General features: G+C 38.2%; 1 protein-coding gene across 3 annotated transcripts in view; it reads left to right on the top strand.

The window, feature by feature from the left end:
* SPRR2G (small proline rich protein 2G) overlaps positions 1-15,406 on the top strand; it is a 53,697-nt gene extending 38,291 nt beyond the window's left edge. Inside the window, exons 5-6 of one of the 3 annotated variants that reach the window (XM_017002177.2) lie at positions 544-643; positions 14,857-15,406. In XM_017002177.2, coding sequence (XP_016857666.1) covers positions 14,878-15,099 — 222 coding nt within the window. In that variant the 5' untranslated portion in view covers positions 544-643; positions 14,857-14,877 and the 3' untranslated portion in view covers positions 15,100-15,406. Of the gene's footprint in view, positions 1-543; positions 644-1,292; positions 1,317-14,097; positions 14,137-14,856 lie in introns of those variants that run through there. The other 2 variants (XM_017002178.2, NM_001014291.4) reach the window with 2 other exon arrangements.
* Positions 15,407-21,419: the final 6,013 nt, after the last annotated feature.

Raw genomic sequence — 21,419 nt, 5'->3', positions numbered from 1 at the left:
AAATAATTTCCCAAAAGTTTGCACCAGGGAGAGGTGAGAAGTGTGTAGGGAGAAGAGAGAAGTGTGTAGAAGTTATCCTGTTATCCTGCTAGTTTCCATCTCTAGCCTGAGGAGAGTTTATAGGTTCCTTAAACATACAGCTGTTACTCCATGTCTGTGGGTTCCACATTTGTGGATTCAACCAACTGTGGGTCAAATGTATTCAGAAAAAAAATTCCACAAAGTTGCAAAAAGCGAAACTTGAATTTGCAGTGTGCAGAGTTCTATGCTGAACCCACCCCACACAATGAAGTGATGTTTAGGAATCGTATTAGGTATTATAAGTAATCTAAAGATGATTTAAATTATACCAGAGGATGTATATAGGTTATATACAAACACTATGTGATTTTATATAAGGGACTTGAGCATCTGTGGATTTTGGTATCTATGGGAGGGTCCTGGAACAAATCTCCCATGGATACTGAGGGATGACTGTATTTGGTACTCAAATTATTTTAAAATAACAGAGCCACTTACTTCCTTCTCCCCTCTCCTCTTCAGACTACTCTTTTGAGCTTCTGACCACCCATCAGCATTGGATTAGAGATTCTGGACTAAATGACTTTCTCCAGGAATAGTTGCTGGTGGACAAAACTTCCAGGTACACCCACTTTTCACCTTTCTTGTACCTCTCTTCCTGGCCTCATGGTCCTGCCATTCATTGCTGAGCCAGCCTATCAGTCAGTTAGAGACCTGTGCCTCTCCATGCCCAAGGGCACTTAGATAATCTCCATCATTGTTCTTTGGGTTGTGAATGATTTTGTCCATTAAGTTTTGTTTACCAAATAACATTTTCTGTTATTTTAAAATCATGTAAAACCTGTTACTTGAAAAACGCAGTTGAGAACGAAAATATTTCATAACTTAGTGTGAGATAAATTATATAAAAGGAAGTTCTCTTTCTAATTGTATTGTTATTATTGATATTACTATATATTAGTATGAAACGGTATTGATACCATTTGGTGAGGACTGAGAAATATGAGGGTATTTTAGATGACTCAAAATCTTAGACTTTGGAAGACAGAATAGGTGATGTTGATATAGAGTTTTGGTCCTCCAGAAGAGCAGCAAGGTTATGAAGAATGGGATGGGTTTTGTTTTGGATACACTGTGCTCAAGAGCTGTGATAATCTAGGTCGAAATGTTAACTGGCTGTTTAGGAATATCATTCCTATGGCCTCCCAACAGGGCTGAGACACAGATGCCGTGCACAGAAGTTACATGGATGGGGTGAAGACTCGGGAAAGGAAGAGAGCAGTCAGAGGGACAAAGTGAGTAGGAAGGACTGAGCTGAGAACAGAATGCCAAGGTTAAGAGGATTGAGAGCTGCATTTTTAGGCTCCAAAAAGAGGATGGGACACCCCTCTTGCTTTGAAACTTGCTTTGGAATTGGTATGCACTGCTCCCCAGCTAACATTTTGAAGACCTCTTACCCTTTTCTTATGTGTCCCCAAATATAGGAGCCCCAAATACAAATAGTCAAGTCTCTATCACCCATAATTCCAATTGCTATAGGTAGGCGTGTGATGTTTGGCAGGGCTAATATAGTGGAAAGATGAGATGTTTAGAAATTCATGTGCCTTTGGCAAGATGGCCTTCTTTTTGGAATGTGTAGACAACCATATTTTTAACCTCACCTATGAGATAATTTGTCTGCTGATCCCTCAGCTCCATTTTTATCAATCACATGTGCACACAAAATCACACACAATCCATGCACAGTTCTAAAAATAATGCTTCTTTTCGAGTGCCACTTTTTCCATGTTGTGATCATCTGGAAGCAAGTCTTGTCTGTCACAATACACTGTATATTCTTCAAGATTAGGGTCATGAACAGCTCAAATCTTTATCTTGTGCATTTTTAATGGTGTCTGCTATGTAGTAAAACTATTGATTGAATGGACGGTTAAAAGCCAGTTTTGTTTCTACCATTATTATCACTGGACCTGCTAATCATGACAGAAGATTCTTTATTGTCATTTTAGGCATTAGAACTGATGTTTATTTACTTGTTTGATAATATTTCTTTGACCCAAATTATGTACCATGCCCTGTCACAGGCACTGGGGACCCAAGATTGAGTAAGGCACTATCTCTGCCCTAAGGGGCTCATACTATCTTGTATAAAATATAAAGACACATAGAAAATTAAAATATATTGGCAAGTGCAATGATAAAGATGTAGTTGGGAGAGGATTCCTGGAAGACATAACATCTGATATGAGCTGGAAGTCTGAGGTGGTCAGGCCATGGAGTTTGAGGTTCCCAGTCCATGATGTGTCCTGCTTTAGGACCCTGCGGCCCCTCACTTTCTCTCTGGTCACCAAGCAATTCTAAGGCCAGGGTCTTGGGCCTGCACCATTTCAGTGGGCTAATTTAACTGTGATTCTGTCTGTTTCCCCAGCCCTGACACACTAACTTGCTGTTTAATTGTGGGACGCATAGCAGTAATGGAGCCTCCAGGATGTCCTGGCTCAGGCACAGCAGAAGGGCAGAGTGTTTGGGTTATTCTGGGTAGCTCCCTGCTCCATTCAACAGAGGACATGCATTCCTGAAAACAATTGGTATTCACCATGGAATATTATGCAGCCATAAAACAGAATGAGGTCATGTGCTTTGCCGGAACATGGATGGAGCTATGGGCCATTATCTTTAGCAGAGTAATGCAGGAACAGAAAACCAAATACCACGTGTTCTCACTTATAAGTGACAGCTAAATGATGAGAACACATGGACACATAGAGGGGAACAACACACACTGGGGCCTATCCGAGGGAGGAGGTGGGGAGGAGAGAGAGGATCAGGAAAAATAACTAATGGGTACTAGGCTTAATATCTGGGTGATGAAATAATCTGTACAACAAACCCCCATGACACGAGTTTACCTATATAACAAACCTGCACATGTACCCTTGAACTTAAAATAAAAGTTAAACAACAACAACAACAACCACCACCACCACCAAAAACCCCCTATTGGTATCATGGAGACTGTTGAAATGCAGTTTTCTGTCTTCTAATTTTATGAAGGAGATTTTAGACATTGTCAATTTAGAAAGGTCAATTACCATTATTTGAAACCTATTTTCTTTTTGATGTGAAGATTCTCAAAGTCTGCATATTACCTGAGGTTATATTTCTAATTCTAGAGTAGTCTTTGTAATTTCTGTCCATCTGATTTCTAAGATTATTCACAGTTTATATATGGTCATTCTCATTTCTTTGCTCCAGAGTTCCAACAGACCAGCTAATGGCAGCCTGGGTCTCTTAGGTGAGTCCTAGGGTAATGATTTAATGCAAGTTATAGATGAAACTTACATGAAAATCACAGGCAATGAAATAAAAAAGTAGACAAGTGGGGCTGCATCAAATTAAAAACCTCTTGACAGCAAATGAAAGAATCAACAGAGTGAAAAGTCATCATACAGAATGAGAGAAAATATTTGCAAACCATACATGTGATAGGGGGTTGATATCCAAAATATACAAGGAACTCAAACAACTCAAAGGCAAGAAAACAAATAACCTAATTAAAAACTGGGCAAAGTGCCTGAATAGACATTTCTCCAATGAAGAAATACAAATGGCCAACATGTATATGAAAAAATGCTCAATATCACTAATCACCAGGAAAATGAAGAGCAAAAACCACAATGAGATGTGACTTCATATGTGTTAGGATGACTACTATTATTGTTATTATTTTTTATTATACTTTAAGTTTTAGGGTACATGTGCACAACGTGCAGTTTTGTTACATATGTATACATGTGCCATGTTGGTGTGCGGCACCCATTAACTCTTCATTTAACATTAGGTATATCTCCTAATGCTATCCCTCCCCCCACCCCACAACAGGCCCGGGTGTGTGATGTTCCACTTCCTGTGTCCATGTGTTCTCGTTGTTCAATTCCCACCTATGAGTGAGAACATGTGGTGTTTGGTTTTTTGTCCTTGTGATAGTTTGCTGAGAATGATGGTTTCCAGCTTCATCCATGTCCCTACAAAGGACATGGACTCATCATTTTTTATGGCTGCATAGTATTCCATGGTGTATATGTGCCACATTTTCTTAATCCAGTCTATCATTGTTGGACATTTGGGTTGGTTCCAAGCCTTTGCTATTGTGAATAGTGCCACAATAAACATACATGTGCATATGTCTTTATAGCAGCATGTTTTATAATCCTTTGGGTATATACCCAGTAATGGGATGGCTGGGTGAAATGGTATTTCTAGTTCTAGATCCCTGAGGAATCACCACACTGACTTCCACAATGGTTGAACTAGTTTACAGTCCCACCAACAGTGTAAAAGTGTTCCTATTTCTCCACATCCTCTCCAGCACCTGTTGTTTCCTGACTTCCCAAAAAACAAAGGATAACAAGTGTTGATGAGGATGTGGAGAAATTGGAGCACTTACATACTGTTGGCATGAATGAAGAATGGTGCAGCTACTATGGAAAACAGTATGCAGTTTCCTCAAAAAATTAAAAATAATTCAGTAATTCCTTTTATGGGGATATATCTAAAATAATGGAAATCAAGATCTCTAAGAGATAGCTGCATTCTCATGTTCATTGCAGCATTATTCACAATACCCAAGATATGGAAACAATCTAAATGTCTATGAGCAGATGAATGAATTGAAAAATTGTGGCATATATATACAATGTAATATTATTGAACCTTAGAAAAGAAGGAAACCCTGTCATTTGCAAAAACATGTTTGATCCTTGATGATATTATGCTAAGTGAAATAAGCCAGTCATGTAGAAGGAAAAATACTGCATGATTCTATTATGTGAAGTTTCTAAAATATCCAGACCTATGGAAGCAGAGAAAAGAATGGTGGTTGCCAGGGTCTGGGGTAGAAGGAAATAGAAAATTTGTTTTTCAGTGGGTATAAAGTTTCAGTTATATAAGATAAATTCTAGAGACCTGCTGTGCAATATAATACCTATGGTTAACAATCTGGTTGATATGGTTTGGCTCTGTGTACCCACCCAAATCTCATTTCAAACTGTAATTGCCACATTTCAAGGGAGGGACCTGCTGGGAGGTGATTGGATCACGGAGGCAATTTCCCCCAAGCTGTTCTTGTGATAGTGTGCGAGTTCTTATGAGATCTAATGGCTTAAAAGTGTTTGGCAGTTCCCCTCAACCTCTCTGTCTCTCCTGCCACTATGTAAGACACGCCTTGCTTCCCCTTTGCCTTCTGCCATGATTGTAAGTTTCCTGAGGCCTCCCTAGCCATGCAAAACTGTGAGTCAATTAAACCTGCTTTCTTTTTACCCAGTTTCAGGTAGTATCTTTATAGCAGTGTGAGAACAAACTAATACAGAGAATTGGTACCAGCAGAATGGGTACTGCTATAAAGATAACTAAAAATGTGAAAGTGACTTTAGAAGTGGGTAATGGGCAGATATTGTAACAGTTTGGAGGGCTCAGAAGAAGACAGGAAGATGTGGGAAAATTTGGAACTTCCTAGATACTTGCTGAACGGTTTTAACCAAAATGCTGATAGAGATATGGACAATGAAGTCCAGGCTGAGTTGTTCTCAGATGGAGGTGAGGAATTTATTGGGAACTGGAGTAAAGGTCACTGCTGCTATGCTTTAGCAAAAAGACTGGTGACATTTTGCCTCTGCCCTGGAGATGTGTGGTGCTCTGAACTTGAAAGAGATGATTTAGGGTATTTGGCAGAAGAGATTTCTGAGCAGCAAAGAATTCAAGAGGTGACCTGGTTGTTTCTGAAAGCATACCGTCACATACATTCACAAAGATATGATTTGAAATTCAAACTTAGGTTTTGCATAAGTAAGCAGGAAAGGAATGTTAATCACCAAGACAATGGGTAAATGTCTCCAGAGTATTTCAGAGATCTTCGTGGCAGCCCCTCCCATCATAGGCACAGAGGCCTAGAAGGGAAAAAATTGTTTAGTGGGCCAGGCCCAGGGCCCCACTGCTCAGTGCAGCCTTGGGACTTGGTACCCTGCATCCCAGCCATCCAGATTGAGCCATGGCCAAAACAGGCCAAAGTACAGCCCTGGCCATGGCTTCCTGCAAAGGGTGCAAGTCTGAAACCTTGGCAGCTTCCATATGGTGTTGGGTCTGCGGGCATGCAGAAGACAAGAGTCAAGCTTTGGGAACCTCTGCCTAGATGTCAGAGGATGTATGGAAATGCCTGAGTGTCCAGGCAGAAGTCTGCTGCAGGGATGGAGCCCTCATGGAGAACCTCTTCTAGGGCAATGCAGAATGGAAAAGTGGGGTTGGAGCCCCCACACAGTGTCCCAACTGGGGCACTGCCTAGTGGAGCTGTAAGAAGAGGGCCACTGTCCTTCAGACTTCAGAAAGGTAGATCCACTGACAGCTTGCACCGTGCACCTAGAAAAGCTGCAGGCACTCAATGCCAGCTCAAGAAAGCAGCTGCAGGGGCTGTACTGTGCAGAGCCACAGGGGCAGAGCTGCCAAAGACCATGGAAACTTACCCCTTGCATCAGCATGCCTTGGATGTGAGACATGGAGTCAAAAGGGGATTTTGAAGCTTTAAGATTTAATGACTGTCCAGCTAGGTTTCAGACTTGCATGGGACCTGTGGCTCCTTTGTTTTGGCCAATTTCTCCCATTTGGAATGGGAACATTTACCAAATGCCTGTACCCTCATTGTATCTTGGAAGCAACTAACTTGTTTTTGATTTTACGGGCTCATAGGTGGAAGAAATTTGCCTTGTCTCAGATGAGACTTTGGACTTGGACTTTTGAGTTAATGCTGAAATGAGTTAAGACTTTGGGGGACTGTTGGGAAGGTGTGACTGTTTTTGAAATGTGAAAAGGACATGAGATTTGGGAGGGTCCAGGAGCAGAATAATATGGCTTATCTCTGTGTACCCACCCAAATCTCATCTCGAATTACAATCCCACATGTTGAGGGAGGGACCTGTTGGGAGGTAATTGAATCATGGGGCCGTCTCATGAGATCTGATTGTTTAAAAGTGCTTGGCAGCCCCCCTCCCACCCCCCTCTCTGTCTCCTGCCACCATGTAAGACATGCTTTGCTTCCTCTTCACCCTCTTCCATGATTGTAAGTGTGGCCCCCCTCCAGCCATGGGGAACTGTGAGTCAGTTAAACCTGTTTTCTTTATTAATTACCCAGTCCCAGGTAGTATCCTTGTAAGCAGTGTGAGAACGGACTAATGGTACTGTGCACTTTAAAATATAAGAGGATAGATTTCACATTAAGCATTCTTACCCAAACCCAACCCAAACCAAACCAAACCAAAACAAACCAACCCATAATAACACAACAAAAAAAAACCCACAGGGAAATTTTTAGAGGTGATGGATATGCTTAGTGTCTTGATTGTGGTGATGATATCATGGGTATATGCATATGTCTAGATTCATCCAGATGTGTATATTAAATGTGCATGAGTTTTTATATATCAATTATACCTCAATAAAAGCAATAAAAAAGAGTATTATAATCTCCCTTGGACCCATCACCTAGCTTCAAAAATTATCAACAATTTGTTATTCTTGACTTCATCTACTCTCCCACACTTTGTTTGTTCTTTTTATCACTGAACTATTTTACAGTTCCAAATATCATATCCTTTCACCTATAAATTTGTCAGTATGTGTTTTTAACAGATATCTTAAAATAGCCACAAGATGATCATCACACTTAACAAAATTAATGATTATTCTACATGTAATCCAAAAAAGATATATATGAAACTTATACCTTAAGTTCTAAAAGCTGAGCAATAATTCACAAAATACAGATAATCCCCAACTTATGCTAGTTTTCCTTACAATATTTTTGATTTTATGATGGTGCCAAAGTACTATGCATTCAGTAGAAAGTGGTGTGATATTCTTGGGTGATGCTGGGCAGTGGCAGTAAGCCCCAGCTCCTCAATTTACCATGTGGTTTACCCTGTAAATTGAGGAGCTCTGTATATTTTGAATAAAGCCGAACAATCTTGTTCTGACCTTATGCACAGGGTGACATTCAGAAGAAATATTAGTCTGAGTTCTAAAAAGGAAACACAATTGGAAATCAATTTAAATACTGACGTTTACTTAACAAATGGCAAACTGGAATTATATTGCCACAAAATAACTTAAAATCCTCTTTACCTCTCTCCCCAAATTTGTACTAATTTTTGCATGGTAGCTGCCTTTACCTTCTCTTTTGCCTTTTCTGTCCTTTTTAGTATGACTCTGTCTAGGCTTTCTGGTATTATTTTAGTCCTCTTCTTTATCCATTATCTGGTTCAACACAACAAAACAAACTTCTCTACCAATCAGCAGTGGGCAGTGAATGGTGAGGGTGAGGGAGGATAGGGAAAACAGCGCGTATTTAAATGTACTGCTCTTACCAAATGTTATAAAAATAATATTTAATATTCTACTACCTCTGTCACAGGAGACATGAACTAAAGAAACTCTGCAATGTCAGCGTCTTAAAATTCTTTAGACAATTCCTTTTGTAATCCATTGGCAAGATACATGGTGTTTACAAAGTTATTCAGCAATCACATGCATTGGAACAAATTGTCATGGAGTATCCAAATATAGGAGCCCCAAATCTAAATAGTCAAGGCTCTATTATCTGTAATTCCAATTGCTATAGGTAGGTGTGTGGATTTTGGCAGGGCTAATGTAGTGGAAAGATGAGATGTCTGGAAAATCATGAAATCACAGAGTAATTCAGTAGAATATTAAATGTTATTTTTTTCTAGTCACAGAGGTAATAGCATATTCTTTCCCTCAGAACTCACAAGATTGTTGTGACACTCATGTAAGGCAACACAATTTAGAAACTAAAATCATTATTTTTTTAACAACTATTTATCTAGCACGTACTCTGTTTCAGGTATTGGATCATGTCCTGAGTGTAGGTGAAGTTGCAGTCTGACTACTCAAAGTGCTCGCAAGCTCAAGGGAAAAGGATATGGGTGGGGAATCCACTTAATGCAGATGGGTTGCACTTAACACTTAATGCAAAGCTCAGAGTGTTTTATGGGACTCTTAGGTAGGGTCACCTGCCCTAATAGGAGGGATCCAGGAAGGCTTTTCATTGAAGTGATGGCTTTTAGAGAATTGTGTAGACATTAACCCGGTAAAACAATAATAATATGGCATATTACAGGTTAGTAAATAAATTCACTGAGGATAGAAAAAACTGGTATGTCAGCAAAATTACAGAGTTTGATACATGACAGCACACAGTTCAAAAAGTGGAGTAATAAGGAATGAGGCTAGAGGCGAAGGAAGGGCTATGTAATGGACCTAGAACTTAAAGTATTTTAAGCATGCAAGTGATGTAGTCAGATTTTACTTTTTAATGTATCACTCTTATGGCAATGGAAAGATGGATTTAAATCAAACAAGATAGAGGAAGACAGCTATATTAGGAAGCTATGGTAATAATCGAGCAAGAGATGAGGAGGCTCTGAACTAGGGCATGGCAGTCAGCATAGAAGGAGAGAGATGGATTCCAGAGATACTTATGCTGTTGAACTGTCAGAATGAGGAGTTTAGATAAGTAGCATGTAGTAGAGGCGAAAATGTCAAGGTAACTCAAGTAGCTGGGTGATTATTGGTGTACAGGATAGAGAATACTGGAGGTTCAAGTGGTTTGTGGGAAAGATGATCAGCTTGTTGGTACTTGAGGATATTTGGACAGAGATATCTAGAGGGCAAGGGGATATTTAAGTTTGAAGTGAGTTCTGGAGTGCAAATGTAGATGAGTGAGTTAGTAGATTTGTGATGACTGAAACCATAGGAATCATTGATATTGTAACTAGAGAATGCATAGGATGGTAAGATCCATGGAATGAGCACCAGAGGACTCCATTTGGCATTTAGAAGAAGAGGTTCAGATCAAGGAGGAGAAAGATTAAGCACAGGAGTAGGAGAATATTAAGTGGATATTATGAAAACCAGTAAGTAGAGACTCTAGAGAAAGATGGAATGATTGGCACTGTGACATGTAGCAGAGAAGTCTAGGAAGATAAAAACGGAGAATGACTCAGTTTATCTGACAGAAAGCTTGGAATAATTTCAGTAGATGGTGGGCTAAATCCAGACTGCCATGGGTTGAGGGGTTAGTGAGATGTGGGACAGAAGAGACAGCAGTTGTAGATGACTCATTTGACAAACCTCTAGCTAGACTAATAAAGAAAAAAGGAGAGAAGATTCAAATTAATAAAATCAAATATGAAAGAGGAGATATGAAAACTGATGCCATGGATATAAAAAAGATCCTAAGAGACTGCTTATGAACAACTATATAGCAATAAATTGGATAACCTAGAAGAAATTGATAAATTACTAGAAACATGCAACCTACTGAGACTGAATCATGAAGAAATAGAAAATCTGGACAGACCAATAACGAGTAAGGAGATTAAATCAGCAATATAAATACTGTGATCAAAGAAAAATCCAGGACCACATGGCTACAGTAGTAAACTCTACCAAACATTTAAATAACTAATGTATTAATAAATTATTATTAAACTTTTCCAAAAATTGAGGAGAGACCACTTCCAAATTCATTGTATGAGGATGGCATTACCCTGATACCAAAGCCAGATAAGAACATTATAAAAAAATTACAGGCCAACATCCCTGATGAATATAGAAGCAAAAAGATTCAACAAAATACTAGCATACCTAGTAGTCCATTAAAAGAATAATGCAACATGATCAAGTGGGATTTATCCCTGAGATGCAAGGATGGATGGTTCAATAAATTTCTTTCTTTTCTAAAAAAAAAAAAAGATGGTTCAGTGTAGGCAAATCAATAAATGTGATACACTACATAAACAGAATAAAGGATACAAATTGTATGATAATCTAAATAGAGGCAGATAAAGCTTTCCACAAAATACAACATCTTTTCATGATTAAAACACTCAACGAATTAGGTATAGAAGAAATGTATCTCAACATAATAAAGGCCATATGTGAGTAACCCACAGCTAATATATTCGAGGGTGAAAAATTAAAAGCTTTTCCTCTAAGATCAGGAGCAAAGCAAGGACACTCACTCTTGCCATCTCTGTTCATTTCTAATTCTATTATTTTTAAATTCTATATTCTCAAAAACTTAAAGGCATATTATGTAGTAGCAGCATATCTTTATTTATTAAAATAGAAATAATTTTATTGGGAGCTTAAAGAACTAGGCTATAAATGTTAAATCAAGTAAAATCAAATGGCCCTTGGGAAATGTCATCCTCTCTCTCTTTCCCCTTTCCTCTTCTTTCCACTCGCCTGTCTTCTACCCTCTCTACCTTCCTTCGTTTCTTCATTTCTGGGACTCCCATAAAATAGCTTTGTCCTTCTTTTCAAAATCTTTAGGCAAATCAGGAACTTTGGGACCAGGTAATTCAGCCTCATAATTCCCAGCTTTACACGGTTGTTTTACTAGGCTTACTATTTATTTTATTTGCACCTTACAAAAATGTCCGTCAGAGAAGTATTATTATTACCATTTCTCAATGAAGAAACTGAAAATTGCAGAAATGTTAAGAAAATTGCTCAAATTTACACACCTAATTAGGACTTAACTCAATCATTGTGTTTATACAGTGCCAGTTTGCTAACATAGTATTTACTCACAGATTTATTTATTTCAATTTTAAAATATCTTTGAACATTTAAATATTTAAACACTTTGAATAAGCAAAAAATATACATGATACCAAAATTCAAAAGAGAAGAAAATGGTCATGCAGTGAAAAGTTAGTCTCTCCCCCACTCCTATTCCCTAGATACTTAACTATTCTCCTGAGATAACCACGGTTACTAGTTTATAAGTAAACTCCAGCAAACCCTCATGTAGATACTATGTGAGTTTCAGAGGTTTAATTTGCACAGAGTGCTTCAAGTGCCCATTATTTGTGAAAAATGAGGATCATCTGTCCTTTAGCTATTTTCTCTCTCTATAAAAAAACTGTCCTTTGTGAAGCTGGCAAACCTCATTAAGCATTCTTTTCTGAAAAGCCCAATCCTCCTTCAGTTTATCAAGCATAAATGATAAACCAAATAATTTATTGGTAAAAATAACTTTGGAATCTATTAGTAATTCATGAGGCAAAGAAAAGTAGGTCTAAAATTGTGTTGATAGAACTGTTTTAAGTCACGTAATCCTTAGCTAATTCTTCAGCATGCATCAGCTATGGTTCCTAGGATTTCAACATGAGAAAGAACGCTGTGAAAGTGCCTCACCCATCCCAGGAGCATCCCTGTTCCTTCTGGCATCCCTGAAGTGTGTCAGTTTCCTGATAGTAACTTAGATGACTAAATTGTTTAGTTTCAGAGTACTAGGGAGGGATAACTAGCCTCATGTTGTTCCTCTGAGATGCTGAGAAAGAATTTAATAGTAGGGCTCAACTCAAAGACGTTCCTACCTCTTCAAATTCCCATGTTAGGTCCTCAGTTTTTTTTGTTTCTCTACTGTACCAACCCAATCAAGTTTGAAACATTGCAGATACAACACAGCATTCTTCTGGGTAAAGAGCACAAGGCAAAAATCTTCCCTGAGAGGGGCTTTCTCAGGAAAACAAGGTGCCGACCCTGTAGGTGCTATGGTACCCATGCCGTCTAATTAGTAGTGACTACAGCTAGAAGAATGGGGGATGCAGGGAAAGGATCTTCACTAGATAGGCCTCACTCTAAACAATGCCATTCTTTATTATCTGTTTTTGACATGTTTGAAATTATTGGTTAGTTATGATTAGTTATTATTCTTATTTCTTCTACATTTTAGAGTTTATATTTCTTAGAAGACCCACTATGTAATGTGCATAATTTTAGGCCACTCTTTGAGTTTTTGTAGGAGACTTTTGTGGTAGGTGTATTTTTTATTTCTGTTTTACAGCTGTGTAAACTGTGTTTCAAGGAGGTTAGGAAATATTTAGTTCCACACAGTAGTGGTGGCTGTAGATGTATGCATAACCAAGGTACTCAAGTTTTTTCCAAGTTGGGACAGTGAGTAATACTAGCTGAAGTGTTAATATGGTTAAATAAGCTATACTAAGAAATTATCCGTGGGATCTGTGCCAGCTATACTTTACTTATTTAGGTAAAAACATCCATGAAGTAAACAGCAGGATAAATAGCTTTACAGAACTTCACTCCTCGAATGTGCAAAGAAAGCCTGAAATCCTACTAAATGTCATTTCAAAAGAGAGAAATTGTGAAGGAGTAAATTGAATTAGCATGTAGGAGAAAAGCTTCAAAATGGATGCAGCACATACATTAAGGCAGTTTGGAAGAAAATGGGAGAAGATGAGTTTGGATTTCTAGTAGACCACAAGTCACTCATAGTTACAAGGGCCACAGAGATGAGGTTAGTGTGTAAATCTGCAAATGTGAAGCTTTAAGAAGGGGCCCCAACATGACTCTAATGGCCTAGAAAACTGAGAGATGATGTTGCCTTGTTCAAGCCCATTAATACCATGTCAGAACACACCCAGGTTGGGGCTGTCAGCATCTAGGAAGCTGATATATGATTTTGTCACCCTGTTCAAGTCAATTAATTGTCAAGAAAAGCCTAAGGATCAATAGGCCATGATAAAAGGGGAAGTTAGTTGTAAAGAAAAACTGCAGTTGAGGGTTAGGATATAGCCAGGCTGCAGGATCAGCACATACTGGTCTCTACTAAAGAGAACACAGCTAGATACTGGGCATGTGCAACTGAATGGGAGTAGTTTTACATACAGGATACTTTGGAAGCTGGGAAGTAGGAGAAGCACCATCTCTAATTATAGGGAAGCACCACAATTGTCAGACAATTTGTCACGTTCTACAATTGCCACTGGCATGAGGAACCTGAGATAATGTCCCAAGTGAATCACTGTGCACTTATCCTGCTGGGGAGGATCATGGACTAGGAATTTTGTGATACCAGCATGGATTACATGCAAGTGGTATTTTGGTTGGGAAATAAGCACATCATGCTAGTCCTGGGCTGTTCCCTGTGTAGGGCTGCCTGCCCCTTATAAAAGGACTCTCCACCACACTGATGCTATCTTCTTGCCATTCAGTTGTAGATCTTTGAAGACTCTGGTGAGTACAAATATTAGAAGCTTTTCTTGCACTTGGATGGTGTTAGGGTCTAACCTGGGTACAGAAATGCCTGTTTATTTTAACCAATTTATCCTCATGGATAGGAAAAAGAAGATAATGAGGTCTTGAAGGTAAATTTTAGCTGGTATTTGGTAGATAAACATGAAGGTGATGAGGAACCTGGAGTCAAATATATAAAATCTTAAACTGAAGGAGAGTGAGAGACACAAGATGCTGTTCTGTCTCCTGCTTCACATCTGTTCCAAATACATCTCTCTTGGAGTGCAATCTCCTTGGGTGATGGGTGCAAGTTTTTGCAATTCTCTTAAAAAACTCATGGCTCAGCACCACAGCCAGCTCATTAAAACTGGTAACTAGGGCCTCATGGAAGATAAGAGCACAGATTTGTTTGGTATTGGCTAGACTTTTAATATCTGAGTTTTTCTTCTTCAGATAGTGTTTGTATTCAGACAACATTTGTTGCTGTCTCATAGGCAATTTTATTTTCAGAAAATGGTAGAATGAGAGAACAGCCAGAAAGACGGAAGAACTGAGGGTAAGAGGTCCTAAAAGTGAAGTGTGAAGAAGGTTCACAAAGTCATAAAGACTGTATTAGGGATCAAAGTTGGTCCCTAGATACTGGAGATTTGATGTCCTAGCTAATTGCTCCACCAACAGGACTGTCTCTCTTATGAGCACTGTTTCGTATGTATCTTTCAGATTCTCTGAGACTGAGGAGAGATGTCTTACCAGCAGCAGCAGTGCAAGCAGCCCTGCCAGCCACCTCCTGTGTGCCCCACGCCAAAGTGCCCAGAGCCATGTCCACCCCCGAAGTGCCCTGAGCCTTACCTGCCTCCTCCTTGTCCACCTGAGCATTGCCCACCTCCACCATGCCAGGATAAATGCCCTCCTGTGCAACCATACCCACCCTGCCAGCAGAAGTATCCACCCAAGAGCAAGTAACATCACTAGAATTCATCAGGACCATGAAACAACAAGATCCAGTGGCTCTTCTTACTCCCAGGACTCCATCATCTTCCCTTCAGCTGTAGTGGGAGGCTGCATCTTCCCTAACCTCTGTCTGGCTTGAGCGTTGACAGAGAAAAGGCTTAGTTCTGAAAACCGATATGTTGTTGGAAGATGAGCAGCCAGATCACTGCCTAATCTCGCTTTGCTGTCTGTGATGTAGATGGTGGTTCCTATCCTGAGAGCAAGTGTGTTTATTCTTTTGCTTCTCCCCAATAAAGCACATGTTTCATGGTCAAGCCCACATTGCTTTTGTTTGCATTTCGTGTCTTTAACCTCTTCTGTTAACTACACCAAGTGAATGTTCCTTTTCATTCCTATTGAATTATTAGAATTATTAGGCTTTTCCATCACTGAATTCAGTGTTGCGTGCAATGTGTGTTTTGGATTCGGTACAACAAATAATTCTCTTTTATTGGTTTAAAACTCATTTTTACCCCTTCTAGCTTGTATGGCTGAAAAAATTACCTAAACTCTCTTAGCTTCAGTTTCATCATCTGTAAAAAGTAAGAGAGCATGTATTCAGCTGAGTGTACTCATAGCAATTGATTTATTCACAAATGTTTCCTAATTGTCTATCATGTGCCAGCCAGTCTTCTATGCACTGCTGATAGGGATAATGATGACCAAACAAAGTCCTTGCTCTTATAGAGTCTACAGTCTTAAGAGAGTTACATATCACCCCCACCCCCCGACCCCCACACACCTCCCACACACAGGACAAATTATAGTAATACATGGGCTATATTTAAAGAAAATTATTTAGAAAGACCCTTTGAAGTGACTTTTGGCTCAAAGACATGAATGAATAGAAGAGGGAGCCATGGGTATATCAGGGGTAGATTGTTCCTGTTGGAAGAAATGGCCAGTGCTAAAGAAATACAAAATAACATTAGCCGGGCGTGGTGGTGGGCGCCTGTAGTCCCAGCTACTCGGGAGGCTGAGGCAGGAGAATGGCGTGAATCCGAGAGGCGGGCTTGCAGTGAGCCGAGATCGTGCCACTGGACTCCAGCATGGGCGACAGAGCGAGACTCTGTCTCAAAAAAAAAAAAAAAAAAAAAAAAAAAAGAAATACAAAATAACAAAAAGGAAAATGGTGGTCAAGGAGAAATGTCTGCAAATGAGGTCAGAGAGGTTGGATCTCTAGGATACAGTCATGATTTCGATATATACTTGAAGTTTGACAGCCATCTTAGGATGGTCAAAGTCTTGAAATTTTATTGTACATAACTCAACAATTGTATATAATTACTTTTGCATAGCATTTCAACCAGAAGTACATAGGGTATTTCAAACATATTTTTTTAAAAGTTGAAAAGAACTGAGGAATTAATTAAAACTCTTTTGCTAAGAGGGACTGCCCAAATGAAAAGTAGGTCTACCTGTTTTCACATCTTAAAGGGAAATATATTTGATTAGTTTCATCAAATTGCAGCTAGCAGAATGCTTAGGGAATTTTGTTCTTGCTGTGCTCCAAGCCCCAACAGGAATGTTAGAAGGTAAAGTTTACACAAGGCAATACAGAATAACTCCAAGTTATTGTCTTAACAGTAAGCTGTTGAATAAAGCTCTGGCTTAATGTTGTTGACAGTTCCTCCTAACCCCCAGGCCACATTTTGTCTTTAAGAAAAACAAAAATAAAAAATCCTTTATTTTAGGCGAAATATAATCAACACATTCGGAAAGTTCATAAACTTTAGCTGTACAGGGCGAATAATTACAAGCTGAGCACTCATGCAACCAATGCCAAATTGAAGAAAAATGACATTACCAAACTTTCTAAAGACTCCACATTGCCTTATTCAATAACACTCTATACTTTCATCACTGGAAGTAAACACTCTGCTGACATTTAACATAATTACTTTCTTGCTTTTTATTTTATTTTTTAACCATTAATATAGAGGGATCTATATTAATAGATATAGTTAAGTTTTCCAGTTTTTGAATTGCATATAAATGGAACCATACAGTATGTCATTTTTTTGCCTGTCTCCTTTCAACCATCATTGTGTAATTTTTGCTTATTCATGATTGCATTTTAGCATATCATTGTATAAATACACAACACTTTTGTATCCTTATTTATTCTACTCTTGGTTGACATCGGGTTGTTCCCTATTTGGTATTGTTATGAATAGTGCCATCATGATGTTTTCTTCCTGCCTGTGGGTGCACAAGCTCACACATTTCTCTAGGATATACACCCAGAAGTATGTGCATCTTCAACTTTGGTAGGTGATGCCAAACTGTTTTCTAAAATGCTGTCCCAATTTAAATGCCTAGAGCTGTGTAGTAGATTTTATGCTTCCTTTCCCTCCTTCAGCTAATCAATCAATGTCACCCTTCATAGTTTACCTATCTGGTATGGGCATAATTATCTTTTATTGTACTTTGAATATGCATTTTATTAAATATTAATGTCTTTTAGAAGTTTTAAAAAATATGTTTATTAATCATTTTGACATACATTCTTGTGAAGTGCCTGCTAAAGGCTTTTACCCATTTCTATTGAGCTGTTTTTTTCTGACTACTTTTTATGAATTTTTAGTATATTTTGGATACTTAGCTTTAATGGTAATTTGCCTAACCCACTGTAACTAAGATTTTCTCCTGTTTTCCTCCAGAATTGCAGAATGTTTTATTTTTTATCTTAGTGATATATTTTGAATTAATTTTTGTATATGTGAAGTAAGAATCAAGATTCACTATTTCCCATATTAATATCCAATTGCTTGAGTACCATTTGCTGACAAGTTTCTTTTTTTTGCCCATTAAATTACCCTGACACCTTCATTGAAAACCAACTAACTATATAGATATAGATACATATCCATGTGGGTCTATTTTTGGACTTTATTCTATTCTATTGATCTCTATGTCTATTTTTATGCTAATACTACATCTGATTAGTTTGGTTCTAGAATAAATATTCATTTGTCCTGCTCCAAGTACTATATATTTCCACATACATTTTATAATTAGCTTGCGAATTCTTTAAAAGACACTGAGGGGGTTTGACTGAAATTATATTAAATCTATGGCTCAATTTGAGAAGAACTGACAGTATTGACAAAACTTAGCAGTACTGACTTTTTGATCCATGAACAAGCAATATCTGTCCATATATTTACTTTCTCTAAGCAGAGAAGTACACAGTGTTCAGTGAAAGGTCTTGCACATCTTTTCTTAAAGTTTTTTGGTATTTATTTCAAATGTTATTATAAGTGGATTTTAACATTTTATTTTTGAATTGTCTGTTGCTGCAGATATTGCTATGACCCTGCTTCAAGCCACCTGAATATCTGCATTATTTCTATAGCCTCCTTACTCTCTCCCCGCTTTCATCCTTGCTCTATATGACAAATGCTCAACACAGTAGTCAGAATTAACCTCTTAAAGATAATGTCACTTCTCTAGCCAGATACTTCCCTTCTAAATCAGAATATGAGACACAGTCTCTACAGTGATCTACAAAGCCCAACATGAACTGAAACTCACCTCTGAAATCTGCCTCATCTGTATTTATTCTTCCTTCCTTCTCTCAGAAAAGCTTAAGTAGGATAGGAAATTGCATGGTCAAATGATGAGGTGAGAGGCAGCATTTTTTTTCTCTGTAAAATTTTGTGTACCATTTTATTATTATATAACACATATGTCATAACTACAACTAAAAATACAATTAAAATGTTCAAGCTAGTCCACTGAAATAGTAGGGTACTGAATGAAATGATTTGTTTTGTCAAGTGTTTTCTTTGATATGTGTTTACCATATGTTTATCCTGTATTTCTTTATCTTTTGTTAGTATTTATGTGGTTGAGGCAGAAAAACTTGGGAAAGTTACTAAGACTAATACTTAAAATACACATGCAAGCATCTTCTTTTTTTCAAAAAGGCGGAAAGCCTGTAATTGTTTGATTTGAGACAGATTATTTTAGCTCTTCTTTTGTTTTCATCTTACTCTCTTTCATTTCTTCCTTCTTCCCTCTGACATGCCCACCCTATTTATCTGATTTTTCCTTCCTTCTTGCCTTCATAAGTTTTGAGTATATATTTTCCAGGCACTAAGCTCAAGCGATAAATGATAAGCCATTTTGCTTGCCCTCAAAAACCTTAGAATCATATGTAAAATAAAATAATTGCAATTCTGGTATGCATACTGTGTTAAAATTATGTTCTATAAGGAACAGTTGGGGTCATTTGATTCTACTTGAGAAGATAGGGGTGGAGCAAGGAAAACCTCCAGATGACTGAGCAGATTGTAGAAGCATATGCAGGTGATCATCAGGGAGAGCTGAAAGGTAAAGTATTCCAGATGCAGGGGGCAACATCAGAGAACACACACAGACACCTGCAATGTTCCAGAGACTGCTTTGTCGTTCAGTAGGTCTGGAGTAAATGGTGCAATGGTAGGTGTTATGTAAAGTTGTGTTAGAGCACACACAGTCCAGTTGTGAACCTTCTTGTGGTTATCTACCAAAATAGCTACCATTTCTGTCTTATTTACAATGATACTGCTATAAAGTTAAAAAACTTCAACAGCACAGAAAAGCTATGATCCTCTCTATCTGAGTCTATGCTCTTTCTTTTTGCCCAAAGATAATCACAGTTTATTTCCAAAGTAACCATCATTAACATGAACAGCCATCATTATAGATACCTTTCCATGCATAGTAAGTAGAAAAAGAGATAGAAAGAATAGAGAAGTGCCGTAGCTGGAATTTTTAATGCATTAATTTAATTTAACAGAAGAAAAGGAAAGCAAGATATAATTAAGAATTGTCAAACTTCAGGCAAAATTTTCTCCCGTGCTCAGATTTCTGCAACAGTCTGAATAAGCAGGTCTTAAAATGAAAAGCATTTGGAGTCATTATTTTCTTATCTCCACATTTCAATATCAGATATTAATTATAGAATTACCAATATAAATGTTGAGTAAATTTGTATCTTCCCAACCCATTTTTACTTCAACATTTTTGCTAGTTATATAGAAATTTTCACATTGTTAGGGTTTATAAATACCGATGCTCTGTTTTATGACCTCAGTTCCTACAGATGACTATGCTTATTTCATTATTTAAAATGATACATTGCTAACTACTATTTCTCTTACCATAGCTTCCCATCTATGAGATGTTTAGTAGATTATATCTCTTGGATGGTTGTATTTGACAAAGCAGTTTTATAAGAATTTACTGCAGGGGCTGCATTTATTAGCTTCTTCCATATCTATATTTTAAAGCTTCAATAGCCTTTATTTTCTTGTTGGATTGTTTGAAAATTTAAAAGATGATATAGAGTCTGTTCTCCTTCTTGTTTTTCAGATTTTCATTTCTGGAGGCCTCTGTTTGTTTGTTTGTTTTTTCCAGTCTGTGCTGACAGCTCTCCAGGTCTCCTGTACACCCCTTGTCCTCTCCCCTTCTTAAATAATTTCCTGGATTAAACCCACCATTTCTCTACCTTTCTGTTTCTTGAGCTTATGCCACTACTCATTGAAGAATATCCTTATGTAATTCCCTAATAAAGAATGTGTGGGAGAAATAAGTGTCTCAAAGCAGATGCAGGATTCAGCTACCTTCCACAATTTGTGCAGCTAAGAGAAAAAAAACACATTGAGGTTTCCCTCATCATTCTACTCTGTTTCTCTTTCTTTCCTAATCAACTCTCATACCCAATCAAGAGGACTTTTGGCTCCTTTGTCCCCTGAAGTTAAAAGATCCTCTTTAGTTGGATCTTCAAGTCCACCTCCAGATTTATAAAGAAATTCCTTTTCCAGGTAATCCTTAGCATCACTTTATCAGCAATACAGGCTGCTAGGAGTCAACGGATAAAGGCCTTAAAATTCTGAGTGAAGTTTGTTTTTATTTTTCCAAGATAGTGGATTGGAGACATTGTTAGCATGCCTCTCTCACTTGGAAAGACAAAATAGTGTGTAGAGATCCACACTGTGAACTTTTTCCCAGGAAGTAATGCAGGAACTTAACAGGAAAACTGAAAAAAAAAAAAAGACCCCACACACAAAAAAACAAAACCCCATACATCCTTTGAAAGAAGCTGCAGGCTGCAACCTACACTGTGAGCCAGGCAGAAAACAGAGTTTTTCAGAGTATGAGGGGGGATGGACTGCCTCCAGGATATACACCACCAGGTAACCTGGCAATCCAGGCCATGGGGGAAGGCCTTAACCCTCCCCAGCACTGGAAATGATTTATGGAGCAGTGAGGAATATAAAAGTAGAAGCAGCAGTGGGAAGAGC

Source organism: Homo sapiens, chromosome 1, assembly GCF_000001405.40.
Source record: "Homo sapiens chromosome 1, GRCh38.p14 Primary Assembly".
Lineage (NCBI taxonomy): Eukaryota > Metazoa > Chordata > Mammalia > Primates > Hominidae > Homo > Homo sapiens.
The sequence above is the reverse complement of the archived record's forward strand: the minus strand, read 5'-3'. Positions and strand labels throughout refer to the sequence as shown.